Source organism: Homo sapiens, chromosome 18, assembly GCF_000001405.40.
Source record: "Homo sapiens chromosome 18, GRCh38.p14 Primary Assembly".
Classification (NCBI taxonomy): domain Eukaryota; kingdom Metazoa; phylum Chordata; class Mammalia; order Primates; family Hominidae; genus Homo; species Homo sapiens.
The window spans coordinates 24,173,913-24,201,707 of record NC_000018.10 but is presented as its reverse complement, the minus strand read 5'-3'; the positions used below and the strand labels follow the sequence as shown (position 1 = coordinate 24,201,707).

Genomic DNA, 27,795 nt, shown 5'->3' with positions numbered 1-27,795 from the left:
CACTGCAACCTCTGCCTCCTGGGTTCAAGTGATTCTCCTGCCTCAGCCTCCCGAGTAGCTGGGACTGCAGGCATGTGCCACCACGCTCAGCTAATTTTTGTATTTTTAGTAGAGACGGGGTTTCACCATGTTGGCCAGGCTGGTCTCAAACTCCTGACCTCAAGTGATCTGTCTGCCTCGGCCTCCCAAAGTGCTGGGATTACAGGCATGAGCCACTGTGCCGGGCCCAAATAACAGGTAATTTCTGCCATCCAAATAACGTTTAAAGATTTTGGAGATCGTGATCTCTTGACCTTCACAACTTTCAGAACAAGGGGGATTCAAGCACAGCATTTGTTAGTCAACACTTCTTTAATGAATTTGGTTCTTTGGGGTCTGCCTACAATGCTGTGTAGCAGGGAAATAATGGTGTGCTAGCAGGCGGAGCCGTTTGCATCACATAGATGAAACCACTGTGAGACTCTTCATTTAAAAACCAGTTATTGTGCTGTTGTCTAGATAGTCGTAATGTCATCTGTATGGTTGAAAATAGAACCAGGACATATCACTGCCAGTCCCTGGTACAGGGTGTGTTCTCTCTGTATGAAGAGAAAAAGGAAGCATAGAATGCAAGATAATGACCCTCAGATAAACTCCACCGAGAGAGAATCACTGAGCTGTGCTTTCAGCCTGAAAATTCTGATTGCTGCTCTCGTCTGTTCTTATTTCTGCCTGGAGTAACACTGCCATCCAACACCATTCGGGAATTCTCTCTTCTTTTTTTCCTGGCAGAGAGAGTGAAATTTTTAAATATGGAAACACATCCTTTTCAACACAAATTATTTTTTTTAACTGAATCTCCTACCTAATTTTTTTTTAAAATTTCTCTACTCCCTCTGCTTCTTCAAATAACACTGCAGAAGATTTAGCATTTTCTTGATGATTAGACTGTGGACTATTTTTTGTCTGTTCTTGACTTTAGAGTCATAAAATTTTTGTTCCCCACGCTATTCTTGAAACAATACAACCCTTTTGTTTTCAGAAGTAATCACAGAGATCCATTCTGTCCAGTACAGTTGCCACTAGCCACGTGTGGCTTTTGGGCCCTTGAAATCTGGGTAGTACGACTGAGAAACTGATTTTTTTACTTTTTTTTTTTTTTTTTTTGACACGGAGTCTCACTCTGTCACCCAGGCTGGAGTGCAGTGACGCAATCTCAGCTCACTGCAACCTCCGCTTCCCAGGTTCAAGTGATTCTCCTGCCTCAGCCTCCCAAGTAGTTGGGATTACAGGCACCCACCACTGCACCTGCTAATTTTTGTATTTTTTAGTAGAGACAGGGTTTCACCATCTTGGCCAGGCTGGTCTCGAACTCCAGACCTTGTGATCCACCCGCCTCAGCCTCCCAAAGTGTTGGGATTACAGGCGTGAGCCATGGCGCCCGGCCTGATTTTTTACTTAATTTTAATTAACATCAGTTGTAAAATGAAGCAGAAACTGTTCTTCCATTAAAAACGACTGTTAAGACTAGATTTCATGTTAACTGTTTAGTAGCTTAATTGAGATATGCTCTAAAAGTGTAGGATACACACTGGATTTCAAAGACAATATGGAAAAAAGTATAACATCATTTTTTGTATGTATTTATATGTTGAAATGCTAATATTTTGGATATACTGGGTTAAATAAAATAAATTACTAAAATTAGTTTTGATTTTTTAAAATGTGGCTACTACAGAATTTGAGATTATACATGAAGCTCTCATTGTATTTCTCTGGCTGGATTTCTTGACCCTGGCACTGCTGACGTTGTAGGTGGGTAATTCTTTGTTGTGGAGCCTGTCTTGTTCCTGGCATGATGTTTAGCAGCATCCTTGGTCGAGCTGGGGTGCCTTTCTGTGCCCTGACTGGTGGAATCCTCCAGCCTCTGTCTGAAACCCTTCCTTAAGAGGCCTCTCTCATCTCCTATTTTTAGAATTCATTGTGACACAGGTCTTTATATTAGCCACCCTAATATAAGCATTCACCTGCAGTAATAGTCCTTCTCTCTTGAGTAGCACAGAATAAACTAAATTCTTTACAAAAGAGGTAATGTCTAATAGGTCGTATACATTCCAAAGCTTCTGCCACAAATACTTAAACTCCCAGTTGGTGCTAGCCATTGTCCTAGGCAACAGGGCCACAGCAGTAGACAGAATATGAGTTCTCATGGAGTTTACATACTGTTTGGGGGTAGGAGGTCATCAACACATCAGCAAGAGAGTGTACCTTATGTCACGTCAATCAGTGCTGTGGAGGGGGAAGATGAAGCAGGCTGAAGTGCATAGCAGCTGGGGGAGCCGGGGGAGCTGGGGGCAAGGATGTTATTACTCCTGCCATCTCAGGCCCTCTCTCCGATATTCCAAGACCCCCCTTGTGCCCACTGTTCGCCACACCCCCAGCTTTTGTTTCTCTAGCTTTGCACGTCCCTTAGCACTGCTTGTAAGAGATGTTTTCCAGACACCTTTGCCTCGCCTCGGATCAGTCCTCCTGCGTGGCGGTCTTCCAATTTCTTTTAAAAGTGGCACCTGGGCCAGGTGTGGTGGCTCACACCTGTAATACCAGCACTGTGGGAGGCTGAGGTGGGTGGATCACTGCATGTAAGGAGTTCGAGACCAGCCTGGCCAACATGGTGAAACCCTATCTTTACTAAAGATAACAAAAATTAGCCAGGCATGGTGGCGGGTACCTGTAGTCCCAGCTACTCGGGAGGCTGAGGCAGAAGAATCGTTTGAACCCGGGAGGTGGAGGTTGCAGTGAGTCGAGATCATACCACTGCACTCCAGCCTGGGTAACAGAGTGTGACTCTCTCTCAAAAAAAAAAAACAACAAAAAAAAACACCAAAACAACAGTGACACCTGAGCCTGAGTCCCAGCTCAGGTTGCCCTCGGGAACGCTCTGCCTGCTGCCCCATTGTGGCAGTCTGAGATTGCACCTGTCTTCTTGGCAGCCTCGTCATGCTATGGGCTTAGACTGTGGTCAGCAACTGAGAGGTCATTTACTAAGCCATGGCTTGTGTGCTGCGTGGGTGTCTCGTGGGCCGGTGTTTCTCTTGCTGCTTCCCATCAGTTTATTGCACAAAGTGTGGTCTCAGTGAGGCAAGGCTCTTGGCTCTGCGTGTCCTACGGAAGAAAATAACATGGGCTCTGTAACGGCTGTTTACCTTTCAAAACCCCTTCCCCTCTGCTTTCTGGTTATGTTCTGAATAGGTAATGAATGTTGCAGATAATCTGACTTCCTTATAAATGAGTAATGATTACATTCTCATAAAATCACAGAAAGTTTTGTGCATAAAAATGAGTATAGGATATTCCCAGGTGGGACTCTTGGCTGACAGTCCTCTGACAATTTCTAAACTGAGGATAATTACAAAGCTCGAATGTCTCTCATCTTCTGCCTCCAAGATATTTGTTGTTCTTGCCTTTCTGCTATTCTTGCCTTTAGTTAGAATGGTAGCACACGGTCTATACATTTAATGTCAGCGTTTGTTGGGGGTGAATGACAGCCCTCATTCCCTCTTCACAAGCTTCTTTCAAGCTCATAACTCTCTAGGTATGCTACACTTTGGATGGACTTTTCCAAGACAGTAGAAGGAAAATTTGGCTGGGCGCGGTAGCTCACGCCTGTAATCCCAGCACTTTGGGAGGCCGAGGCAGGTAGATCACCTGAGGTCAGGAGTTCAAGACCAACCTGGCCAACATGGTGAAACCCCGTCTCTACTAAAAATACAAAAAATTAGCCGGGCATGGTGGCAGGCACCTGAAATCCCAGCTACTCGGGAGGCTGACACAGGAGAATCGCTTGAACCCGGGAGGCAGGGTTGCAGTGAGCTGAGATCACACCACTGCACTCCAGCCTCGGCAACAAGAACGAAAGTCCATCTCAAAAAAAAAAAAAAAAAAGAAAAGAAAAGAACAAAATAGATGGAAAATTTAATTTACATACATCTCTAAAACTATATTATACATGCAAAGCATAGATAATGGCAGGGATTCTTATTCCTGGTATCTATTATTCGTGTCACAGAGATTGATAGTCTTGGATAGTGGGGAATGTGATTTAAATACCATCTGTGGCCACTTATCCAGCAGATTGGTTAGATGGCATATCTGCCAAATGAGCAGTGTGTGTTCCTAAAAAAGAAAAAGAAACTAGAAGAATTCCACCATGGATTATTGACTTAAAAATGTAAATTGTATTAACTTCTATAATCCAAATTAATTAGTTTAATTTAGAGGTTCTTCAGAAGATAATTTTTAAAATATCTAATATTTTAGCTACATGGATGTATTTCAGAAGGCAACTGGAAAACCTTTTATTATTTTATTATTTTTTAGTTTTTGAGACAGAATCTCGCTCTGTTGCCCAGGCTGGAGTGCAATGGCGTGACCTCGGCTCACTGCAACCTCCGCCTCACGTGTTCAAGTGATTCTCCTGTCTCAGCCTCCTGAGTAGCTGGGATTACAGGCGTGCACTACCACACGTGGCTGATTTTTGTATTTTTAGTGGAGATGGGTTTCACTATGTTGCCCAGGCTGGTCTTAAACTCCTGAGCTCCAGTGATCTGCCCACCTTGGACTCCCAATGTGCTGGGATTACAGGTGTGAACCACCACACCCGGCCAGCAACTGGAAAACTTTCATAATAGTGTTCTGGAAAGTTGGCCTGGGCACCTCTTGCACCACCCCTCATTCCTGATGGTGCTGCCATTCTGATCTGTGGAAATGGGGTGGCTCCCTGCCCACCAGGCCTGACTCTGATGTGCTGCTTATCCAAGCCACAGACCTTCAGCCCCAGGCAGCCGTCATCCCTTGGCTACTTTCGAACACCTACAGAGGCTTCGAAGATGCTCTTTCTGTAGAGGTTAATTTGTTTTCCAGTCTACCCAGAATTGCTAAATTTTGTTAGTGTTAGTCTCCTTGGGGAAGTACTGATGTATGTTACAGGGCCTAAATACTTTTTACTTTTTATTTATTTTTACTTTGGCTTTTACTTTTTAAAAATACTTTGGCTTTTATGAAAGTTTTCTATTTTCCATTTCATTTCTTAAAAACCTGTATCTAAGCTTTGTGATGGCATTTTGTTTACATCATTTAGCGGCTAGAGAATGATAATGTATTAAGTATCAGAACATGGTAGGTGTGCCATAAATCCAACAACAGGGTCAGATGTGCCATAACGTGAAAGCATAGTGGATCTCTGAGGTGGTCCAAACAGCTGGATCCCAAGGACTGGGAGGACTGAGTTCAGATCAGAGCAATGCTGAAGACAGAGGAGCAGTTGATTGCTACAGAATCTTTCAGGGGCCAAAGTAGGTATAGGTGAACAGGTGCAACCCTAGATTAGCCCTGCTTAGCCCTGTCTGTGATGACACACATTTTTAAAGGGTCTTTCTGTGCCTGCAGCTCTCATGTGAATGAAAGCAGTTCTTCCCTCCTGCTGACAATGGCATTAGAATGAACTTTATGTTTTTCTTTTCTTTTTTCAGAACAAGTTTGCCTTCTCCTATGTTTTCCAGAAATGACTTCAGTATCTGGAGCATCCTCAGAAAATGTATTGGAATGGTAAATTAATGGTTTTGTCATATGATATTAAGCAGATATGTTTAATCGCATATTCTTTAGAAAGGAACCTAAAAGTTTGCATTAAAGTGGTGCACGACAACGTTTATGGGAACGTACGAGAATCATAAATTGTGAAAAGTCGTAGGTGACTTTTTTCTGACAAGAATTTGAGCTGCTCTAATGGCTTTAGTGTGCATTTTTGATGTAAAAAAAAAAACAAACAGAAACTGAAAATGCCGTGTTTCTGTTGACACAGCACATTTATATTGCCCCATAGACTTACCTAGAAACTCTCAGAAAGAACAGACAACCCCACAGTGGAGAACAGAATTTCACTTACACTTCTGTGCACAGAGCAAGTTTTCGTATTTGGAATTTGTAAGTGTGGTATATTAAATATTTGGAATATGTCTCTGCTTAGTTATCTGTGCAGGTGGATCTGATGTGGGGGGAGGTAGGGAGATGGCAGCATTTCCTTTCATAGAAATCCTTGGATTCCCTTGAAGGTAGTAGTCAACACCACCACCCTGATGTCAGTCAGGCTAGGATTCTGGGTAAAGTTCTCATAACTCTTCCTAGTGTGACCTTGGACCACCGAACATGTAAGTCATGTGGCACAAAAGAATCTGCCTGGACATTACCTTTTAACATTTTGCAATTGAATGTGTACCCTGGGAGCACTCCAGAACTTTCCCTGTGCTGGGAAGTACAGTCACCTCATGCACACTTCATTCTGTGGCTTGAAATCCTGTCCGCTGCAGAGATACCCACTTTGGCATTTTTCTTTTCATTTTCTTTCTTTTTTCATTTCATTTCTTTTCATTTTTTTGAGACAGGGGCTCATTACCCAGACTGGAGTGAAGTGGTGCCCTCATGGCTCACTGTAGCCTCAACCTCCCCAGCTCAATTTATCCGCCCACCTCAGCCTCCTGAGTAGCTGGGACCACAGGCGCGTCGTGCCACACCTGGCTAATTTTTTTGTATTTTTAGTAGAGAAGGAGTGTTGCTATGTTTCCCAGGCTGGTCTCGAACTCCTGGGCTCAAGCAGTCCTCCCACCTCAGCCTTCCAAAGTGTTGGGATTACAGGCCTTAGCCACCATGCCTGGCCTCTGGCATTTTTCCAATGTCTCTCTTCTCTGAGTGGATAATGAAATCTGAAACTTCCTAAATGTAATTTCCAAGGAACAAATTTCATAAACATTAATTTTAAACAAATATTTTTTGACTCCTGCATGGAGAGTAATTCATCTAAATTTCGGAGCCTGATAATGTGGGATCTAATCCCCGCTCTCCCGCTTCCTGGCTGTGAGACCCCAAGCAAGTTGCAGTTCCTACGTGAGTAGCATTCCATCCAGTGTAGAACTAGCATCATAATTTGTACCTTAGAGGTAGGTGTATTGAGCGATAAATAATTTATGTAAAATGCCTGGAACTATTCCTGGTTTAACGTTGCGCTCAATAAATAATAGTTCATATTATCATTAATCACAGCTGAGAATGAGACTTGAGCTCTAATTTTATTTCAATTCTATTAGGATTCAACAGGACAAAGCAAATGTATATAGACAGATGACAGTAACACACGTTTGTCTCTTTGGAACTGAAAATTTCAAGATAAAAATTAGTATTTATTTGTATTCTGCAGAGTCAGTATTTTTCAAACCCTTAGTTAAATATGTTTACCTTTATGATCCAGTATGCAAATATGTATATATGCATGTCCTTAAAATTAAAATCAGTTTCACAAAAGAATGCTCATCATTACTACAAATTGTATTTTCTATTATATTAAAGTAACATTGATTCCAGCTCGTTACATTTATTTTACAACTTGTTAATGAACCAGACCCACCATTTGAAAAACACTGCTCTGAGTTACTATAGAATTTGTACTGTATCTTTGTAAGGTTATTTGGTCAAAGGAGTTTGTATGAACATTTCAGATATGGTTTAGTCTTTTTGGCCACTTTAGAATATACAGTTTTCTGTATTTCTGTTGACTGATTCCTTTCTCCTGCTCTCTCCTGTTTCACTGGGTGTCAGCTGTAGTGTTGGTGTTATGAATTTGTTCATGAAGGTGACTAGCAATCTGTCTAGTTTACGTCCAAATCGAGACTAACCATTCTTTTAAAAGATAGGAGATGATGTTATGTTGGATTGCACCTGCTATGTTCTGAAAGATACTCTGTTTCTCTAGAATGCGGTTTTACTTTTATGTTTAGGCACATAACTTCTTGTACAAGTAAATGCTTATGCTGAATCATAAATAAAATACAACAAATAAACATAGAGCTGTTTGGGTTGAAAGGGTTCCATAGAATGTTCTGAATCATATCTCTAGAACTTACTGATTCAAAGCATAGAGAGAGAGCTTCAGGGGAAGTCGTGTTTTTGGAAACTTCTTTCTGCTGAGGTTCATAGGAGACAAATGTTCTGAAAGAACATTTTTATTAATGTGGATTGAAAGGAGATCACCTAGCTTTTGGAAATATTGTTCTTTGGGCACTGTCTGCTGTAGGACCTTCTCTCTTAGGCAGCAGACACAATCAAGGTATAAGCACTAAGCGACAGTAAAGATTAAAAATGAGGAGTCTTGAGAGAGAAATACAAATATTACCACTTTTTTTTTTTTTTTTTGAGTCGGAGTCTCACTTTGTTGCCCAGGCTGGAATGCAGTGGTGCAGTCTCGGCTCACTGCAGTCTCCACCTCCCGGGTTCAAGTGATTCTCCTGCCTCAGCCTCCCGAGTAGCTGGGACTACAGGTGCATGCCACCATGCCCAGCTAATTTTTTGTACTTTTAGCAGAGATGGGGTTTCACCATGTTGGCCAGACTGGTCTCGAACTCATGACCTCAGTTGATCCACCCACCCTGGCTTCCAAAAGTGCTGGGATTACAGGCATGAGCCACCGCGCCCAGCCTGCATGTTTCTGATTCTATCACATTAATCCAAATACTTCACTTCGTGTCCTTTTTGTGGGGGTGAAACTGAGTTCTAGAAGCCATGTGTATACCTTCAGCTATCATCTCTCTTCCCTTACCTCCATTTACCCAGCTTCTTAATTTGTTAATAAGTCCTAAGAGTGGAAGAGGAAATTTGATACTGAGCCTTAGCTCTTCCTGCTCTCTGTTGTTGTGAGGAGCGTGCCAGGACAGAGTGCGGGGTGTAAGCATCCTGCGGGTGACAGCCCCACAATTCCACACTCAACCAGAGTCCTCATCCCATTTTTTCCGTAACAATTAATGCCCCAGATTTGTATGCTATGATGATATCATTTTATGGTGTAATGCTATTATTATTCAAAATATGTGGCTTTTCTAAATTCACAGTACATATTCTTATCTGCCAGATATGGTCTAGGTCTCACTCTGTCTTAGGAAGGAAAGGAAGAGGTTCTTCTCCATGCATTTGTCATCTTGGCCCCCCGTGTCTGCAGCCCCATCCCCAGCCGGGCTCACTCTGCCCCATCTCCTCCACTCCCATGCACCTGCACGTTGTACTTTACCTTTTTCCAAATAGCATTTAGCCACTTTGATTTCCAATACTGATGACATCCTTCTTTTCTTCTCCCAGTCTGTTTTGAGCAGGATTATGTTATCAAAATGTCAGATTATACAATGTGAAATGAATACTTTACCTAACTGGAATTCAACCCTAAATCTGTTTGTGGTTGAAGCTTTTACCAAACAAACAAATCTCCGGCTCCTGAGAACTAATCCTGACACTGCTTAGTCATTTGAAGCCTTTGCTTATTTCTTTCTGCTTGTTTCCCCTTTGTCACAGGACTCTTTAATCCGAAAGCCTCATGTCCTGTGTGTACCCTGTTTCCGTCCTCCTCTTCTCCTCCATCCCTTTGCTCCAGTGGCTTTCTCAGCAGGGCTCAGCCAGAGGTTAGGTCGTTGGTGTTCATGCTCAGTGACTTAGGCAACCAGCCCCAGGACCTCAGCACAAAATTTGAGGAGGTACTTGAGCTCAAGGCCATGTGCGTGCTGCCCTTGTGTGTGTTCAAATGTCTTGGAGTAATAGAATAGTCCTGGATTATTGCAAGAGGTGACAAAGGTCTGGTACATCAGGAATACCGACTACTTAAAGTGAAAGAAAAGTGTTGTATCATTCTTTTAAAGGTAGCTAGTGGAATCCACATACCATCGAGTTTTGATTGCCACTGTCATTCTGTTAAATAAATACATGAGCAAGCTATTCTTCAGTCATTGAAAAGCTTATACTTCTATGTCTCCTTTAATTTGTATTTCCATTTTATCCTTCCTATAGGATAACTCAGTTAACTTCGTGTCCTTTTTGTAGGGGTGAAACTGAGTTCCAGAAGCCATGTGCATACCTTCAGCTATCATCTCTCTTCCATTAGCTCCATTTACCGAGTTAACTCAATTGTTTTAATCTCTGAGGGTCTTTTATCGATTACTTCATCATACTTCATTACTGCAGAAATATGTATAAAAATTAAAATTTAAAAAGCTATATTCTATAAGACTTTAGTACTAAAGGTTTCTTTGCATTGTTATAAATGTTAGTATTTGATTACAATTGTAAACATTATAAAATTTATGAAAATATTAACAAAGGTAAAATGTTATGAGTGAAAATTTTTTTCAATTGGTTTTAGATATCTGAGATGAATATCACTTGCTGCTAGAATGAGACAGGATCTTCAGTAACAGTTATGTTCTTGTTTTTGAATAGATGCCAGGATTGAGAGCTTTGCTCATATTAATAGACAGATGGGAGTAGGAGTTTTTTGGGTTTTTAAAAAAATGTCCAGTAATGTCATTCAGTTCTTTGACCCCCTTCTCCACTAGATGCCAAAAGTCAGATTATATTACAGAATTTTTGTGTGTGTGATTTATAAGCTAACAACTCAATTAGGACTCCCTTCAGTGTTACTAAAAACACAACTTTGAAAAACTCTAACTTGCACAAGGTTTTGTTACCTTTCATTAGTCATTGGCTTCTTGGCCTCTGGGAAATACACCAGAGAAGCTTTTCCCAAGCTCTCCGATCTCAATTCATTGAACTGTTTTTATCACTCAGTTGTACCTTGCAATACTGAGAAAGGGTTGAGAAAATTGGAATAATTTTCACTGAAGTAAACCTTTGCCAGTATGTTTTTGATAAAATGCTTTTATCTCACCATGAATCTTAAGATGTTTCCCACAAACTGAAGGTTTAGCTCATTCATTCCAGTACAGAATGTCTGCTACATAGCCATAGGGCCAGACCTCATGCCCAGACATATCACTGGGTCAGAGTAACTGTCAGAAGGGATGAGATATTATTTCTGGAATCAGATAAACATGTGATACCCTATATGCCACCATGACAACAGTGCTATTCTTGCATTCCAACTCTAAGATAGATGCGGAGCTAGATAAGGTTTGGAGCTTTGCCAAATCTGGCATGTTATAAATACCAACTAGAGCGACAGAGGATAGAAGGAGCAAGATAGTTAAACAAAATTTGGTATCTCTACCCCCACACTCTACAGTGGTCTAAGATCAGAATGTTTCAACCTGGGGAGAAATGGCTTGAAGACCCTATTTCTCATGTCGTGTCTTTCTCTTAACTGAAACAGGACGTCAAGGAGCCCTAATGTAAGTTAATGGTTCTTGAGTAAAAGAGGCTTTGCTGGTAACAGTACTGTATCTAAACTTCCCTCTCTGGTGCCCTGGAGGTTTTCACATTTCCAGGTATAAATACTATGCCAAGATTCAGCATGGTAGGAGATTAAGTACTTTTTTTTTTTTTTTTTTTTTTTTTTTTCAGTAGCAGAGGGCAACTGTGAATGGGGAAATGAGCAAAGAGGAGCAGCACGGTCCCTCCAGTGCAGGTGCCATCTGAGACTTGCCAGTTTCTAGGAAAAAATGCATGTGGAAGTAGATTCCCTTAAAGCCACAAATGCCGAGTGATCCAGGGCAAGCTTGCAGCCCATGCTTCCATTGTTTCTCCACATTCCTGTGTAGGTGTTGTCCAGCCTTTATGAAGTCCCCTAGCAGGAGGGTTCACGCCACCTCTCAGCTCTGAAGCTCTTCAGCTCCTAAGCAGGAAGAATAGGAAAGGAATATCATTATGTTCATTAGCATTTTCCTTAGAGCTTTTCTTACCTTCTTCTCCACGTTTTCTCATTGGTTGCACTGAGGTGCCCACACTGTGGTTCAGTAAACACATGATGAACACACCGCCTTTTCCCACTCCGTGGCGCCTTCCTTTCTGCCTGCGTGTCTTTCACTCTGGCCCCTGTTGTCCCCCATGGCTGGCCTGTGAGGACTGAGGACAGAAGGCACGAGGGCAGCAGGCTCTTTTTCAAACTGCCCATCCAGAGCGGCCGCAGGCAGCTATCCCGGGACACCTTAGAGTAACTCATCTGCGTGTAATCGGTGGTATTCAGATGGCAAGAACCTCATGCAGTGATAAACTAATAGATGAGATGCTAGGCATCGTGTGGAGCGGGGGGAACTGAGCAGCATGAGATGGGGAAAGAAAGACATTTGGCCCTGCGATGCCCTCAAATGTAAGCACAATGAATTTTTTCATTATCGGTAGCTGTGGGAGGTAGAGGTGTCATAGAGGAAACATCCAGTGCCATCTTCATCTTGCAGGAGGCACGGCTCTGTCCAGGGGACAGCTGACTGCCGCCAGCCCCCGGCTGTCAGTGGAGCGAGCCCTGGGGACCCACCAGGGCTTAGGTCACACACGCGGGGGAGCACCCTGCCCACAAGCTGCTGTCTGGGCAACAGAGCAGACACACCTAGCCTAGCACTTGAGGGAATTTTTCTCTCTATAACCCAGGTCTAAAGTAGTTGCACTTCTACCCTGTTACAGTGGTTGACTTTACATTTATACAATATTTTCAATTTCAGATGAGCTCAAACTTGGCCTTGCTCTCAGGTTTCTCTAGTGCTCAAGTGAAAACACAGCCTTCTCTCCTTCTTCTCAGTTTGTCAGCCAATGAGCAGTTGCAGTTAGGAGTTTCTGCAGTTTCATCATAGGTTGCTATTAATTTGCATGGATAAATTTAAACTTTGCTATTAGCTGGAATTGCTTGGCATAAATGTTTAACTTTTCCAGCTGCCTGAAGCTCTCAATGATAGAAGTTTCTAGGCAGTGTTTCTTCCTGAAGCTTGGTCTTCATAATGTGAATTGTTGTTTTTCTTGTTATTGGAATATACACACATATTGGTTGTATACATTATCTAGAGAATGCAGCACCAGACTTCATTGGATTGGAAGTGAAAATGATGTATCAGTGAATTTTCAAGAGGTCTAAGAGGGAAGGAAATAAAATACACCTTGTGTCAGCGAGTTTTTCACTACCTCTCTAGGGAACTGTAGGTTTTAGCAATTGAAATAATTGTAAGATTATTTAAAAATAATTACAGATGATGGAGGCAATACAATTGCAAGTAAGTTGCTATATTTTAAAATAGCATGTTACACTCTTCCAAGGTCCAGGTTGTTTTTATGGCAGTCTGGGTTCTGCCTCTCCTTCCCTCTCTGTTATTTGACCCAGCCGTGTGCCTTTCCATTTTCTTGAATGCGTTCATTCTGAGTTACTAAAAGAAATGGAAAGCTGTTTAAATTATTATAGATTACAACATTTTATTAAAAGAGGCTTGTAGAATTTTAGCAGCTTTTCAAATGATTAAAAAATAAATCTACTTATTGAATTGATGATAAACCCACATCCTTTGTGCCTTGGTCTCCAGAGTTCACACCACCCTCTTTGTCATTGGCTTCAAGCCCCTGGAAAGCCCGGTGGCTGGTGTTGAGGAGCCCGTGGCTGTGGACAGCTGCCTGCCCCATCCTGCCGTGCTGTGTTTTCCCACGGAGCTGGATGTGGAGAAATGGCAGTGCACGCAGCATTGCTTTAGAGTTGCAAGATTGCATCCCTAGGCCAGTATTCCTGAGAAAACAAAGCAGAATCTCTTTGAGGGAAGAACTCCTGTCTTATAAATACTAAAATGTCATCCCTGGTCCATCTATTCCTTCCTCAATGAGTATGTGATAGTCCTTAAGAGTGTTTTTCAGGAAAAACAAATTCAAAATCAGACTTACAGGTAAAGCTCTTCCTTTCTTTAATGAATAAACTTTTAAAGTTTCTTTATGATCAATCCCACCCTGCTGTTGTGTACAATAAAGGGAAATGGAGAAAACAGGAAGGGAGCTGAGCCAGAAATGGCATAGCCTGTGTCACCTACTGGCTGTCACTGGTTGCCACTGCAGTGAACCCCTGCCATCCTGGTGTTTGGATCCCTCCTGGCCCAGGCTTCAGGAAGGGCAGCACCCTGTCCCTCACTGCCTCACCTTTTAAGCCCAGGTCCCTATGCCATGCTGCTTCTGTAGCTTCTCTGCAGCTCAGCTGCCCCTGGGTCAGGGCAAAGTATCCCAGCCATTGAGTCGTACTTGCTTTCCTGCAACCTTGGAGGACTTGGAGATCTTGTCTGCATTATTAATAACAGTGATAATAGCTAGCATCTATTGCTCACTTAACAGATGCCTGGCACTATTCTGAGTGCTTTATATGAATGAATTCATCTCATCTTTACAAGCCTGGTGAGGTATGTAATGAAATTGTCCCCACTATGGGGAGAGGTTAGGGACTTGCTGGCTGCCACGCAAGCAGTAGGTAGTACAGCTAGGATTTGAATGCAGGAAGTTTGATCTCAGAGCTCATTTTTTTCCCCTTGGTTTTACAATTATGGCAAAATATATATAACAAAAAAGGCACCACCTTCACCATTTTTAAGTATAAAGTTCAGTGGCATCAGTACACTCGCACTGCTGTGCTACCATCACCACTGTCCATCCACAGAACTCTCTTCAGCTTGCAAAACTGAAACCGTCCCCTCGAAACACCAACTTCCCTACTTCCCCTTCATCAGCCCGGCAACCACCATTCTACTCTCTGTTCAGAGCCCTTTCTTATTTATTTATCTGTAGCAACCTTACCCAAGAAGTAGGAACCTCTTCTTTTAATTTCCTGTCTCTGGAACTTAGGAGTGGACTAATCTGAATGTATTTTGTTGCTCTTCTTTTTCCATTGTATTACTTCTACGCCAATTTTTCCTTATCCATTTTATGACTAGCATCAGTGCAAATGTGTGTATTGTAAGGTGGACCAGCTGCTGCGGTATGAGGCTGTTAGTTTCCCTGGCCTTTCCTTTTGCCTGTCTGAATTTTTTTTTTTTTTTTTTTTTTTTTTTTTTGAGACAGAGTCTTGTTCTGTCGCCCAGGCTGGAATGCAGTGGCGTGATCTTGGCTCACTGCAACCTCTGCCTCCCAGGTTCAAGCAATCCTCCTGCCTCAGCCTCCCGAGTAGCTAGGATTACAAGCACACACCACCATGCCCAGCTAATTTTTGTATTTTTAGTAGAGACAGGGTTTCACCATGTTGGCCAGGCTGGTCTCGAACTCCTGACCTCGTGATCCACCCACCTTGTCTTCCCAAAGTGCTGGGATTACAGGCCTGAGCCACCTTAGGTTTTAAAGTAACATCTCATTTTACCCTTGATTAGAAGAGCAGTACATGTTCATTTTAGGAAATCTGGAAAATACAGAAAAGCAGATGGAAGGTTATTAGGATTCCATATGCCCCCAACTCCTAGAGATACCCACTATTAACTTTTTGATGTTACTATCTTCTAGCATTTGTTTCTATGTTTATAAAAACATATTTAACAAGATTAGAATATTTTTGAACATGTTGCTTTATAACCTGTTTTTTTCAGATTTTAAGGTGAATATTTATTTAGAATGAGGAAAAATCATCACAAGTTTTGAAGTGTAAATATCACTATTACCACAGTAACATTGTTTGTGTCTAGTACCACAAACAATATACATCCAAAATCATTACAAACTCTTTAATTGCCTTAACATTCTTCTGTACTTTTTTTGCTACTCTTTTTTGGCTTTACATTCTCTTTTATCACATGTGACTGCGACTATGATATTTTCTGTAGCAGGACTAGAAAGATAATTTGATCTTTCCTAAAGTATGATTCATCAAAATTCATTTTCTTAAAATTTTATTTTATTTTTTAAGACAGGGTCTTGCTGTGTCACCCAGGCTGGAATGCAGTGGCACGAACATGATTCACTATAGCCTTGATCTCCTGAGCTCAAGCAAGCCTTCTGCCTCGGCCTCCCAAGAAGCTGGGACTACAGATGCACGCCCCCACACTTAGCTAGTTTTCTAAATTTTTTGTAGAGATACTCACTTTGCTGCCCAGGCGGGTCTCGAATTCCTGGGCTCAAGTGATCCTCGTGCCTTGGTCCCCAAAGTGGTGAGATTACACATGTGAGCCACCATGCTTGGCCTAATTTTATTTTTCAAAAGACTTTTATTTTATAAAGTAATTTTCAGTTTACAGCAAAATTGAGAGGAAGGTGCAGAGAGTTCCCACACACTCCCTGGCCCCACACGTGCATAGCCTCCCTATTGTCAGCATCCCTCACCAGGGCGGCCCATTTGTTACAATCGGTGAACCTGGATGGGTGCAGTGGCTCATGCCTGTAATCTCAGCACTTTGGGAGGCCGAGGTGGGCGGATCACGAGGTCAGGAGTTCAAGACCAGCCTTGCCAACGTGGTGAAACCTCGTCTCTACTAAAGATACAAAAAATTAGCTGGGCGTGGTAGCACGTGCCTGTAGTCCCAGCTCCTTGGGAGGCTGAGGCAGGAGAATTGCTCGAACCCAGGAGGCGGAGGTTGCAGTGAGCCGCCATTGCACTCCAGCCTGGGCCACAGGGCGAGACTCAGTCTCAAAAAAAAAAAAAAAAAGAAAAAAGAATTGGTGAACCTGCGATACATCATCACCCCAAGTTCATAGTTTATACTAGGGCTCACTCTTGGTGTTCCGTGTTCATGTAATGACATGTATCCAACATTGTAGTACCACACCGAGTGTTTTCACGCCTTAAAAATCCCCTTTGCTCTGTCTTTTCATTCCTCCCCCTTACCCTGGGCAACCACTGACCTTTTTACTGTCTCCATAGTTTCGTCTTATCCAGAATGTCATACAGTTGGAATCATATCGACTTTTTTTCCCTTAGTAATAGGCATCTAAGTTTCCTCCATGTCTTTCCATGACTTGATAGCTCATTTCTTTTTAGCACTGAATAATATTCCAAAAGTAACCAATTTTTTTTACTCAGCATTTAGCTGTGTTAACCGCATGCATTATTAAGCAAGACCTTTGTCTTCAAAGAGCTCTCCATTGAAGGAGGCGGGAAGTGCAGTGTGTGACAAATGCCTGAAAAGGGAAAGCTCACAGGGCAGTGAGAATGCAGGGTGGGGGCAATGAGAATGCAGGGTGGGGGCAGTGAGAATGCAGGGTGCATCTGGGGCAGGGCACACCTGCAGTGTTCCCCTCTCTCTGTGAGGTGATGGGGGCATGTAGATGGGGTATAAGATAGTGTCCGTTTCCCAAGGAATTGTATTACTATACATGTAGCAAGATAAGCTGGTTACCACCCATACTATAACAGTAGGTAATAGAATCTAATCTCTGATCAAATTCTCGGTTGTGAGCAGTACATTTTGGTACTCTAGCAGTTGGAAAGAGTAGGAAATCAGTGAGTGCTACAAAACTTGAGGAGGAAAGACTTGAACTGGGCCTTAAAATCTGGGTAGGACATAGAGGAATAAAGGGAAGAGAGAGCAGGGCATTCCAGGTTAAGTGGTTGTAATGGGGCTTTTACTGCAGTACCTGGCACATAGTAGGTGTTCAGTTAAATACGTGTTTAATGAAAGCATAAACATGACAGAAGGAACAAATTGGGAATAATACACCTCTTTTAGCATCAGAGATGTTGACTGTCATGCAGCATTGGTGGCAGTATAAATTGGTTAAGGTGTTTTGGAAAGCATTCAGCTTGGTAGTATCTAAAAAAATAAATTAATTAATTAAATGAGCATGCTCTTGACCCAGAAACTCCACTTTAGAGAAATCTACTTGAAATCCCTATTTGCCTATATTCTTAAAGATATATGATTAAATAGTTCATGGTATGTCCATATATGGACTTTGTTTTAAATTTAACAAGCACACATATAGCATTACCAATGTGCCCAGAATTATGCTTTATGATAGATACTATTATATTAGTACTTAGTACTTATTGATGAGGGAACTGGCACAGGGTTTAACTTGGTCAAAGCTACACGGCTAGTAAAGGTGAACCCAGCAGTGGAACTCAATCTGGTTCAGTGGTCTTTAGCATTCTACTATCCTGTGATTAGAAAGAACTGGAAAGACTCGATGTATGTACTTTACATGTGTATAACACCCCGCTAAAAGATCCCCAAAACACAGTGAAGGTGTAATGAGTCAATACACAGAGCTGACATCATGCATTAAAACAAACAAATCTGGGCTGGGCACGGTGGCTCACGCCTGTAATCCCAGCACTTTGGGAGGCTGAGGCGGGTGGATCACCTGAGGTCAGGAGTTCAAGACCAGCCTGGCCAACATGGTGAAACCCCGTCTCTACTAAAAATAAAAAAAAAATTAGCCAGGCATGGTGCTGCACGCCTGTAGTTCCAGCTACTCAGGAGGCTGAGGCATGAGAATCGCTTGAACCTGGGAAGTGGAGGTTTCAGTGAGCCGAGATCGCGCCTTTGCACTCCAGCCTGGGCGACAAGAGCAAAACTCCGCCTCAAAAAAAAAAAAAAGAAAAAGAAAAAGAAAAATCTCTCTGTGTGTGAATATAAATCAGGAGTATGTATGCATATGTGTGTAAATACATAGGTATGTATCCCAAAGTGTTGCTGTTGTTTTGTCTCTGGGAAGAGGAGTGGGAAAGGGAAGTAAAGAGACATTTTCATGTTTTTATTTCAATATTATTATATTTTATACTAAGACAGTTATGTATTTCCCAGTTAGTTTTTTTAATAGAAAAAAACAATAACGATAGTTTTATTGAAAAATAGAAGGCCAGGTGCCATGGCTCACACCTGTAATCGCAGCCTTTTGGGAGGCTGAGGTGGGAGGATCGGATCCCTTGAGGTCAGGAGTTCGAGACCAGCCTGACCAACATGGTGAAACCCTGTCTCTACTAAAAAAATACAAAAATTATCCAGGTCTGGTGGTGCACATCTGTAATCCCAGCTACTCCGGAGGCTGAGGCAGGAGAATTGCGTGAACCTGGGAGCCAGAGGTTACAGTGAGCCAAGATTGTGCCACTGTACTCCAGCCTGGGTGACAGAGTGAGACTCCATCTCAAAAAAAAAAAGAAAAATAGAAGAAAGAGAGCCTGGGACACTTCAATTAAGACAAGCCTTAGCAGTCACAGTTTTTCTGACTTGTCCCCAGTAGTGAATCTCTGGGTTTAATGAGCTCTTAGAGTGTATGTAGTTGAGCCTTTTATTTCTCTATATACATTCCTGTTTTCCCTCATCTCCCCAGTGATGCAGCAGTAAATTTACCATTTCTTTTCATCAGGCTGAGCTGTTACATGTCTGTTTTCTGCAGTATTTTATGGTAATGAATGAGCTTATTTTCTTTGATTGCGCTCCAGTTTCAGTTCTTTGCAGGTTGCATTATTTTTAATTGAAAATCTCAGTGGGAATATGGATATTTAGGGGGAAAAGTCAGAGGTAAGTCAGGTGGCATTCAGCCTGACTACGCACCTCAGGACTGTTCACCCGCCCACGCAACCAGCCAGCAGGCCTCATGAAAGACCTGATTCCCAAGGGAATGGTCGATAGAAGTTTGGGAAGATTGTCAGAATATTCCGGTAAATACCAAGATAAGTGTGTTACTTAATGAATTTTGTAAAGGTCTCACCAGAATATTGCTTGCTGGTGGCACATGGTAAACAGAATTGAACAGTTGCAGTTGAGGTCAGAAACTTCCTAATTGTTAAATTATTTTTGAGAGTCGCTTGTGATGGAGGCATTCTGGCAGACAGAATTTAAAATCTATTCTGTAAAATATGCAGTAGCCTGCTAGTACCCTAGACCATAATTTATACTAGATTGGTGTGCTCAGATAAGCTCGGTGTTGTCATATCATTTCATTTCATTTCATTGTCATTTCAAAAGCTGTGAAATTTCTTTTGGAAAATTACTCACAAAAATGGTATGTGTGGTTAATCCTTAGCCCGTTGTTACAAGACAAATGTAGACATATTGAAGTTTTAACACATATATTTGAACAGACAGCAATTCATGACTTGAACAGCCCCAGACCTGAAGCTGTTCCACACTCCACTGAGAAGGCAGCACACTCCACTGAGAAGGCAGGAAGGGGAGCTTTTACTTTTATAAGGTGTTCTTTGAGGGAGCCAGACAAAGAAAGTGCATTCATTTGGGGAAAGTGTAACATTCCTAGATAGAGGTTAGTTTGGCAGTTTCTGATTGGTGAGGCTTAAGTTAACAGGGGAGAGGGTTTCAGCGGTTTGCTTATGAAGGAACTCAAGGCACTGGAGCCATCTCCAGTAATTAATGGCCCTGCAGTTAATTATTTTAACACCACTATGAAGAATTTTGTTCTGTCTCCATTGCCTTTGTCTCCCATTTCCTAATTCTGATGTAAGGCAGACTGATGAAGAGTCATCTGCTCATGCTCACCAGCAGGTAGTGAGCTCCCTGGAGCCAAGGAGAATGTTTGGGCAGTCTTTGTATTTCCTCCTTCAAGGCCTAGAAGGATATACTCCATGGTATTAGGTGCTCTGGAAAGAATTTGTGAAATTGAACCAATATTGATGAAATTTCATGGGTTGCTAGTTTCTGTTCTGTCCTTTCCAGGAGGATGTTATGTAAAGATAACAATAGGTTTGTTTGTTATGTATATGGGACATAACACTTTCAATTTTCTGGTTAAATAGGAACTATCCAAGATCACGATGCCAGTTATATTTAATGAGCCTCTGAGCTTCCTACAGCGCCTAACTGAATACATGGAGCATACTTACCTCATCCACAAGGCCAGTTCACTCTCTGATCCTGTGGAAAGGATGCAGGTATGAGCCAAGGGAGGAAAAGGTCTAACTCTTAGAGACCTTGCTACCAACCCAGCCCCGAACACACACACGTTCACACAATTAGTGTTAAATTCAATGTGAGGTTGGGCAATTTTATCAAAGCTCAGTCCGCATGTCTGGACTGTCCTCTGGTTAGGGTGACACCATTGTGCAGAGACCGATGAGTATTGCAGGAGAAGCAGGAGGTGGCCCATTAAGCAAACCTAGATATTAGTGGGTTTTGCTAAATCCTTTTTTGTGTGTGTGTGAGACAGAGTCTCGCTCTGTCGCCCAGGCTGGAGTGCAGTGGTGCAATCTCGGCTCACGGCAAGCTCCGCCTCCCAGGTTCCCGCCATTCTCCTGCCTCAGCCTCCCAAGTAGCTGGGACTACAGGCACCCGCCACTATGCCTGGCTAATTTTTTGTATTTTTTTAGTAGAGACGGGTTTTCACCTGTGTTAGCCAGGATGGTCTCGATCTCCTGACCTCGTGATCCACCCGCCTGGGCCTCCCAAAGTGCTGGGATTACAGGCATGAGCCACCGTGCCCGGCTGGCTTTTGCTAAATCTTTAGTTGAGAAAGTAGCGTTGTGTTAGGGGAAGAATTCAACCTTTCTTCTTTCAGACTTTCTCGGGGTGTTTCCAAGAAGAAGTTAACACATACACACACACACACACACACACAAAATAGAAAAATATGTTTGTGCTTACTTGTGTATATAAATATATATACATTGCTATATGTTAAAAGACGGCAAGGAATTGCACTTTTTAATGTTTTAGATGGAAGATTGTATATGTTGTACATGGATGGACTAGTTAGAGGTAGAGTATAGTGGACACATTGTTCTCCTTCAACAAAGCAATAGCATTCTAAACTGAGTCTTTCTGTCCTTTCATCTATATAAGTCAGCATTTTCCAACCTCAGTGGACTTAACACCAATTAAGTTGTGGAGTTTTATATCTCTTTCCCCAATCCTGGAGTGTCATACTTTTAAAAATTTTTAAATGAATTAAAAGTAACTTTGGACTTGAGGGTTTTTTAAAAGTCCTTGAGAGAATTTGTAGCACTGTTAGAGTGTGATGAAAACCATGGTTGGGAATAACACTGTAGGAAGCAACTGAAAGTAATTTTCATTCTGAATATCCAAGTTTCCATGTCCCACTGCTAGAGCCATATTAAAACTCCAAAGTAATGAAACTCCTCAAAATAATTCTGTAAATTACTGTCTTCAGCAAAATTTCAGTTCCTAAAAGAATGCGGAGCGAGCTCGGCTATTTTTGACTTGTTCTCATGCTCTGTCCCACAGTGTGTAGCTGCGTTTGCTGTATCTGCTGTTGCTTCTCAGTGGGAACGGACTGGAAAACCTTTCAACCCACTGCTGGGAGAGACTTATGAATTAGTGCGGTGAGGCCTTTCACTTGCATGCTTTATACAGCGTTGCAGATGAAGAGGAGAAATACATACATATTGGTCATCACGAATAACAATTATATAGGACTGGAGCAAGTTAACAATTTTGATGTTTGTTTCTAGGATAGCTATTATTTTAGAGACTGTCAAAAATACTGAAACATATATAAAAGGTACCATTATAAGAAATAATTGCAAAGATTTTTGTATTCCTGATCACATGGGATTAATCACCCTCCTTTTTTCCTTATGTAGATCATGAGACATGATCGAGTTTTGTTTTGTTTTTTTTTTTTACTTTAAGTTTTAGGGTACATGTGCACAATGTGCAGGTTAGTTACATATCTATACATGTGCCATGTTGGTGTGCTGCACCCATTAACTCGTCATTTAACCTCAGGTATATCTCCTAAAAATAATCATTTAAAGTTTATTAGCTGGGTTGTGGTGGCACAGGCCTATAGTCCCAGCTACTTGAGAGGCTGAGGCAGCAGGATCTCTTGAGCCCAGGAGCTCTGGGCTGTAGTGCACTATGCTGGCCAGGTGTCTGCACTAAGTTTGGCATGAATATGGTGACCTCCCAGGAGAGGGAGGTCAGAAATGGACGCAGGTCAAAACTCCTGTGCTGGTCAGTGGTGGGCTTGCACCCATCATTAGCCACTGCGCTCCAGCCTGGGCAACAGTGAGGCCCTCTTATAAAAATATCTCTTTATTAAAAAATATAAATAAAATATATTAGCATAAGTATATATTGTTTGCATGAAGCCAATGACTGCATCTGTAAGTGCAGTTCTGTTTGCTTGAGCTAGCCTGTGTCTTGTTTATATATGATTAAGGGACTTTATTTGGCTTTAGTTTTTCTATGCGTTCCTCCTCTTCTCTGCACAAGTTTTGATCTCATTTATTCCCTAGATGTTTGAAAGTGGACACACTAGATTTCTCTAATGTAAAAGGAATGATGTGTTTTAAATTTACATGACTAATATTTTTTCATGCAAATCATTCAAATTCATCTGGGTGTTCTTTGTTTTAATTTGTTCAAGTAGCTAGCATTACAACATTGGATTTGGTGGTTTGGGTTGCATTTGTATAATTTCTCATATATGAAGTTGTTTCATTGCAATGAGAATAAAGAATTGTTGGCCGGGCATGGTGGCTCATGCCTGTAATCCCAGCACTTTGGGAGGCTGAGGTGGGTTGATCACGAGGTCAGGAGTTCGAAACCAACCTGGCCAACATGATGAAACCCCCGTCTCTACTAAAAATACAAAAATTAGCCAGGTGTGGTGGTGCATGCCTGTAATCCCAATTAGTCGAGAGGCTGAGGGAGGAGAAGTGCTTGAACCTGGGAGGCAGGGGTTGCAGTGAGCCAAGATCACGCCACTGCTCCAGCCTGAGCGACAGAGCAAGATTTTGTCTCAACAACAACAACAAAAGAATTGTTTACTTTGAAAGGGCAATTATGTACATGTTTAATGATAGAGTTAATTATAATGTTGCTTTTTTTTTTCTTTTTTTTTTTTTTTAAATCTTAAGAGATGACCTTGGATTTAGACTCATCTCCGAACAGGTCAGCCATCACCCACCAATCAGTGCATTTCATGCTGAAGGATTAAACAATGACTTCATCTTTCATGGCTCTATCTATCCCAAACTGAAATTCTGGGGGAAGAGTGTAGAAGCAGAACCCAAAGGAACCATCACCTTGGAGCTCCTTGAGTGAGTTCTGATCAAGCCATTACACTCTTTTCATGTAGACCTGCCTGTAAGTGTAGACATGCACACTCAGCTGACCTTACTGTTCAAAAGCTGGAGAAAAAGAAACAGCTTTCATACAGTGCAAACTGTCTACGTCTATGTAAAAGAATTTGAGAAACATGGCAGTAGCCATTGCTAATTAATCTGGGTATGTGTAAATAGTTTAACTTGATTTTTGACTCTGGTGTTTGGATCTATTTTAAGATCGATGGAGTTAATTGCTTCATGACAGTTCTTATGAAACATGCTTTTTTATATCCTTGTGCCAATGTTTTGTTTACAGATCTTTCAAAATGAATTCACTCTGAGAAATAATGAAATGACAATTGTGTGGCACATGTTAGGCGTTAGATAAATTGGGAGTTCTCTTCTTTTGTAAGATTAGCTTTAAATCCACAATTAATTCCAGTTAGGAGAGAATAAGCATACGATACCCTATCTCTTTAACACTGATTACAACTAGATACCCCGGACAGAAGACAAAGCAACAACCCAAAGACTCTGAAAAGTAGATAGTAGCAGGCAGACTGGGGAGAGAAATCAAAACCTGAACACCAATATGGCAGTGAGTTTACTGGTTTTATATATTTCTCCCAAATCTGGCTCAGAATCAGAGCAGCAAATTGCAGAACTGGGGATTAGAGGCCGACCGAAAAAGTTCTGAGAGTAATTCTTTCTTTCTAATTAAAGGACCTAGAAAGATACCCTTGCAGGAAGTAGAGAATAGGGGAAATCCTGTTTTAATTTTGTCTCACAGCCTTGCCCCAAAGCAAGCACTAGGGTCTGTAGCTACACTCCTGCTGCGATGGTGGCTGTGGCAATCACACACGTACCTCAGAGTCCTTCTCTTTGGCCAGAGAAACTGAGTAAAGGAACCCCTGGGGTTCAAAGAGTGTGAGAGAATTCCTGTTACTTGTTTTTCTTTCTTTTCTTTTACCCCTTTGCCCCAGAAGAAGACCTAGTTGTGGGAGATACAAGACAGAGCAGAGAGGCTCAAACCCCAGCTTGCCAGCCGGAGGGGAGAGAAAGCGCCCCCTGGTGTCTAAGAGTGTTGGGGAAACCACAAAGAGGAGGGAGCTCAAGAAAGGGGTCCCCTGAAGCTGCATTATGAGTTCCTACGCTCATCCCTACACACATGCATTGAAATGACCCAGAAGGGTACACAAGGGCCTCAGGATCTGAAATGCTGTGTGGCCTGAGAGCCAGGTCCCTGGATGGCTATTGAGGGGTGGATCTGAGCAGCACTACAGAGGCTTTGAAAATTAAACTGACACTGGAATGAAAGCTCACAGGAGGAGAGTCAGGACTTCTGGCCTGAAACTCTGTTAATTGCCTACTAAAAAAAATTTTTATCAGTATTCTCCAGAAGAGGTTAAGAGGACAGAGTCTTACAATATTCAGGTGTGCAGAATACAATCCAAAATCATTCAGCATACCAAGCAACAGGAAAATCTCAACAAACTAAAATAGAAAAAGACATTTTAGCCAAAAAAAAAAAATAGAAGTATTTTTGGAAATTTTAGTACTAAAAATATAGTAATAGAATATAATAACTGGGATAGGCTCAATGGCAGAATGCAAATGTCAAAATATGTAAAGGATGTGTATGTTGAAAACTACAAGATACTGTTGAAAGTAATCAAGAATTACCTCAGTAATGCAGAGACACACTGTCTCGATATATTTGGAAGCCTCAATTATAGTTAAGATGTCAGTTCACCCCTCACTGATCTATAAGCAGTCTGTATGAGCACAGTCCAAATCAAAATCCCAAGATGATTTTTAATAGATACAGAGAAGTTGATTCTAACTTACGAATTCTAAGTTTGTATGGAAAGGCAAATGACAGAACAGCCAAAATAATTTTGAAAAGGAAGAACAGAATTGATGGACTCCCACTACCCAATTTTAAGGCTTAATGCTAAAGCTGTTGTAATCAAGACAGTGTGGTGGTGGCCAAACTATAGACAAAGTATAGATTAATGCGACGGGGAAGGGAATCCAGAAATTGACCCGCAGAAATGTGGTCAGTTGATTTTTGACAAAGCTGCAAAGGCAATACAGCTAAGAAGAATAGTCCTTTCCACAGACAACCATCTGTGCTATGGAGACAGTTGGACATCTATATGTTAAAAAATGAACCTCAAACTAGACCTCACGCCTTTTACAAAAATCAGCTCAAAATAGATCATTTACGTAAAATGTAAAACTAAGGGTTTTGGAAGAAAACATAGGAGAAACTCTTACAACTTTGGATTAGGCAAAGAACTCTTATGGATATGATACCAAAATTATAACCCATAAAAGACAAAAAGTGATAAATTAGATGTTATTAAATTAAAAACCTTATATCGAAAGATACTGTTCAGAGAATGAAAAGATAAACTATAGAATAGTAAAAATTATTTGCAAATCATATAGCCAACAAAGGACTTGTAGCCACAATATATAAAGAATTCTTAAAACTCAACAGTAAGAAATGATAAGGTCAGGCGCAGTGACTCATGCCTGTAATCCCAGCACTTTGGGAGGCTGAAGTGGGAGGATCACTTGAGCCCAGGAGTTAGAGACCAGCCTGGGCAACATAGTGGGATCCTTGTCTCTAGTAAAAGATTTTAAAAATAGCCAGGTTTGGTGACATGCACCTATAGTCCCAGTTGCTTGGGAGGCTCAGGTGGGAGGATCTCTCAAGCCCAGGAGTTCGAGGCTGCAGTGAGCCATGATTGCGCCATTGTATTCCAGCCTGGGCAACAGAGTGAAACCCTGTCTCTGGAACAACAACAACAAAAAAGAACAATAAAAAATGAATAGATACTTCATATATATATATATATGTGTATATATATATATATATATATATATATACATACACATGGCAAATAAGCACATGAAGTCAGCTGATTGCAGTGGCTCACACCTATAATTCCAGTTACTTAGGAGGCTGAGGCAGGAGGATTGCTTGAGGCCAAGAGTTCAAGACCAGCCTAGGCAACATAGTGAAAATCCGTCTCTAAAAAAATAAAGTAAAATAAATTTAGCCAGGCATGGGGACACATGCCTGTAGTCATAGCTACTAGGGAAGCTAAGGCAGGAGGGTCACTTGAGCCGAGGAGTTCGAGGCTGCAGTGAGCTATGATCCACCACTGCACTCCATCCTAGGTAGTAGAATAAGACCTCATCTCTAAAAAAAAATAAATAAAAATTTAAAAAGATGTTCAACAGCATCAGTTATTAGAGAACTGCAGAGTTAAAACCACAATGAGCTATCCTATTTATACCTATTACAATTTATATTTATACCTATTACAATGTCTAAAATCAAAATAATTGTAAACATTGACAATACCAAGTGCTGACAAGGATGTGGAGGAGCTAGAAATCTCATACAGGTTGAGTATCCGTTTTTTAAAATATACCAAAAGTGTTTTGGATTTTGAATATTTTCAGATTTTGTAATATTTGCAATATACCTACTGGTTTAGCATCTCAAATCCAAAATTCCAAAATCTGAAATACTCCAGTGACCATTTCCTTTGAGTGTCATGTCAGTGCTCAAAAAGTTTCAGACTTTGGAGCATTTCAGATGTCCAAGTTTTGAATTTGGAATGCTCAACCTGTGTATTGTTGGTGTTGGAATGTAAAATGGTAGAGCCACCCTGGAGAACAGTTTGGCAGTTTCTCATCCAGTTAACCTTATGTTTACCACATGACTCAGCAATATCACACCTAGGTATTTGCCTTAGAGAAATGGAAACTTACGTTCATCCCAAAACCTGTATACAAATGTTTACAGTAGCATTATTCATCATCACCAAAAACTGAAAACAGCCCACATGCCCTTCAGTGGGTGAATGGTCACACAAACTGTGGCATATCCATACAGCGGAATCCTACTCAGCACAAAGACTGATACGTAGAACAACACAGATGAATTTCAGGTGCATTATACAAATTGAAGATGCTAATCTCAAAAGGTAATCTACATTTATATGACGTCTGGAAAAGGAAAAACTATTGCAATGGAGAACAGATCAGTTGTTGGGGATAAGGAGTGAGTTGGA

At 41.5% G+C, this 27,795-nt stretch overlaps 1 protein-coding gene across 5 annotated transcripts in view, besides 3 other annotated features; it reads left to right on the top strand.

Moving 5' to 3' along the window:
- Positions 1–27,795, top strand: part of OSBPL1A (oxysterol binding protein like 1A) — a 235,780-nt gene that overhangs the window by 196,117 nt on the left and 11,868 nt on the right. For 4 of the 5 annotated variants that reach the window (XM_017025530.2, NM_001242508.1, NM_018030.4 and 1 more), the window contains 4 exons: positions 5,508–5,583; positions 20,429–20,563; positions 21,873–21,970; positions 23,513–23,695. In XM_017025530.2, coding sequence (XP_016881019.1) covers positions 5,508–5,583; positions 20,429–20,563; positions 21,873–21,970; positions 23,513–23,695 — 492 coding nt within the window. The remainder of the gene's footprint in view (positions 1–5,507; positions 5,584–20,428; positions 20,564–21,872; positions 21,971–23,512; positions 23,696–27,795) is intronic. The other variant, XM_047437287.1, reaches the window with a different exon arrangement.
- Positions 4,150–4,649: an enhancer, noted in NCBI's record as "H3K27ac hESC enhancer chr18:21777023-21777522 (GRCh37/hg19 assembly coordinates)". NCBI's record gives its function as "activates a minimal SCP1, AML or CMV promoter by ChIP-STARR-seq in primed H9 embryonic stem cells {active_cell/tissue: H9 hESC(primed)}" and the evidence as "EXISTENCE:reporter gene assay evidence [ECO:0000049][PMID:30033119]".
- Positions 4,650–5,151: an enhancer, noted in NCBI's record as "H3K27ac hESC enhancer chr18:21776521-21777022 (GRCh37/hg19 assembly coordinates)". NCBI's record gives its function as "activates a minimal SCP1, AML or CMV promoter by ChIP-STARR-seq in naive H9 embryonic stem cells {active_cell/tissue: H9 hESC(naive)}" and the evidence as "EXISTENCE:reporter gene assay evidence [ECO:0000049][PMID:30033119]".
- Positions 11,409–11,703: an enhancer, noted in NCBI's record as "tiled region #1293; K562 Activating non-DNase unmatched - State 22:ReprW". NCBI's record gives its function as "activates a minimal TATA promoter and a strong SV40 promoter by Sharpr-MPRA in K562 cells {active_cell/tissue: K562}" and the evidence as "EXISTENCE:reporter gene assay evidence [ECO:0000049][PMID:27701403]".